At 48.4% G+C, this 2,094-nt stretch overlaps 2 annotated features.

Annotated features, from left to right (window-relative positions):
* Window positions 753–1,254: an enhancer, noted in NCBI's record as "H3K4me1 hESC enhancer chr17:33660479-33660980 (GRCh37/hg19 assembly coordinates)". NCBI's record gives its function as "activates a minimal SCP1, AML or CMV promoter by ChIP-STARR-seq in naive H9 embryonic stem cells {active_cell/tissue: H9 hESC(naive)}" and the evidence as "EXISTENCE:reporter gene assay evidence [ECO:0000049][PMID:30033119]".
* Window positions 1,255–1,754: an enhancer, noted in NCBI's record as "H3K4me1 hESC enhancer chr17:33660981-33661480 (GRCh37/hg19 assembly coordinates)". NCBI's record gives its function as "activates a minimal SCP1, AML or CMV promoter by ChIP-STARR-seq in naive H9 embryonic stem cells {active_cell/tissue: H9 hESC(naive)}" and the evidence as "EXISTENCE:reporter gene assay evidence [ECO:0000049][PMID:30033119]".

Raw genomic sequence — 2,094 nt, forward strand, 5'->3', positions numbered from 1 at the left:
TGCTTGATCAGTTTGGCTATCAATATTTGTGTATGTTTCACAAAGTTCTCATGCTGTGTTTTTCAGCTACATCAGGTCATTTATGTTCTTCTCTACACTGGTTATTCTAGTTAGCAATTCCTCTAGCATTTTTTTCAAGGTTCTTAGCTTCCTTGAATTGGGTTGGAACATGCTCCTTTAGCTCGGAGGAGTTTGTTATTACCCACCTTCTGAAGCCTGCTTGTGTCTATTTGTCAAACTCATTCTCCGTTCAGTTTTGTTTCCTTGCTGGCGAGTACTTGTGATCCTTTGAAGGAGAAGAGGAATTCCGGTTTTGGGAATTTTCAGCCTTTTTGCGCTGATTTTTCCTCATCTTTGTGGATATATCTAGCTTTGGCCTTCCAGTGGGGTTTCTGTGTGGACGTCCTTTTTGTTGATGTTGATGCTTTTCCTTTCTGTTTGTTAGTTTTCCTTCTAACAGTCAGGCCCCTCTGCTGCAGGTCTGCTGGAGTTTGCTGGAGGTCCACTCTAGACCCTGTTTCCCTGGGTATCACCAGCGGAGGCTGCAGAACAGCAAAGATTGCTGCCCGTTCCTTCCTCTGGAAGCTTTGTCCCAGAGGGGCACCTGCCAGATTCCAGCTGGAGCTCTCCTGTATGAAGTATCTGACAACCCCTGCTGGGAGGTGTCTCCCAGTTAGGAGGCATGGTGGGGAGGGTGGTCAGGGACCCACTTGAGGAGGCAGTCTGTCCCTTGGAAGAACTTGAGTGCTTTGCTGGGAGATCTGCTGCTCTTTTCAGAGCTGGCAGGCAGGAACGTTTAAGTCTGTTGAAGCTGCCCACAGCTGCCCCTTCACCCAGGTGCTCTGTCCAAGGGAGATGGGAGTTTTATCTATAAGCCCCTGACTGGAGCTGCTGCCTTTCTTTCAGAGATGTCCTGCCCAGAGAGGAGGAATCTAGAGAGGCAGTCTGGCTACAGTGGCTTTGCTGAGCTGCAGTTGACTCTGCCCAGTTCGAGCTTCCAGGCAGCTTTGTTTACGCTGTGAGGGGAACACCACCTACCAAGCCTCAGTAATGGTGGATGCCCCTCCCCCCACCAAGCTGTAGCATCCCAGGTGGACTTCAGACTGCTGTGCTAGCAGCAAGAATTTTAAGGCAGTGGATCTTAGCTTGCTGGGCTCTGTGGGGGTGGGATCCGCTGAGCTAGACCACTTGGCTCCCTGGCTTCAGCCCCATTTCCAGGGGAGCGTATGGTTCTCTCTAGCTGGCATTTCAGGCACCACTGGGGTACGAAAAAAATTCCTGCAGCTAGCTCAATGTCTGCCCAAACGGCCGCCCAGTTTTGTGCTTGAAATCCAGGGCCCTGGTGGCATAGGCCCCCAAGGGAATCTTTTGATCTGCGGGTTGTGAAGACCTTGGGAAAAGTGTAGTATCAGGGCCAGAGTGCACCATTCCTCACGACACAATCCCTCACGGCTTCCTTGGCTAGGGGAGGGAGTTCCTCAACCCCTTGTACTTCCCCGGTGAGGCAACACCCCACCCTGCTTCTGCTTGCCCTCCATGGGCTGCACACATTGTCTAACCAGTCCCAGTGAGATGAGCCAGGTACATCCTTTGGAAATGCAGAAAACACCCGCCTTCTGCATTGAACTCCCTGGGAGCTGCAGACCAGAGCTGTTCCTGTTCGGCCATCTTGCCAGCCACCCCCATGTTTGTCTTTTTTAACTGCTGTTGCTTTAAAGTTTGTTTTGTCTGATATAAGAATAGCTATTCCTGCTCACTTTTGGTGTCCGTTCATGTGAAATGTCTTTTTCCATCTTTTTACCTTAAGTTTTTGTGAGTCCTTATGTGCTAGGTGAGTCTCCCAAAGGCAGCAGATGGTTGGTTGGTGAGTTCTTATCTATCCTTCAGTTCTGTATCTTTTAAGGGGAGCATTTAGGCTATTTACATTCAATGTTAGCATGGAGATGTGAGGTATCATTCCATTCATCGTGCTATTTGTTGCCTGTATACCTTTGTTTTTTGTTTTTTGCTTTTTAAATTGATTGTTTTATAGGTCCTGTGAGATTTATACTTTAAAGAGGTTCTCTTTTGATGTGTTTCTAGGATTTGTTTCAA

The sequence above is a fragment of the Homo sapiens genome, chromosome 17 (genome assembly GCF_000001405.40).
Source record: "Homo sapiens chromosome 17, GRCh38.p14 Primary Assembly".
In the NCBI taxonomy this organism is placed as follows: Eukaryota; Metazoa; Chordata; class Mammalia; order Primates; family Hominidae; genus Homo; species Homo sapiens.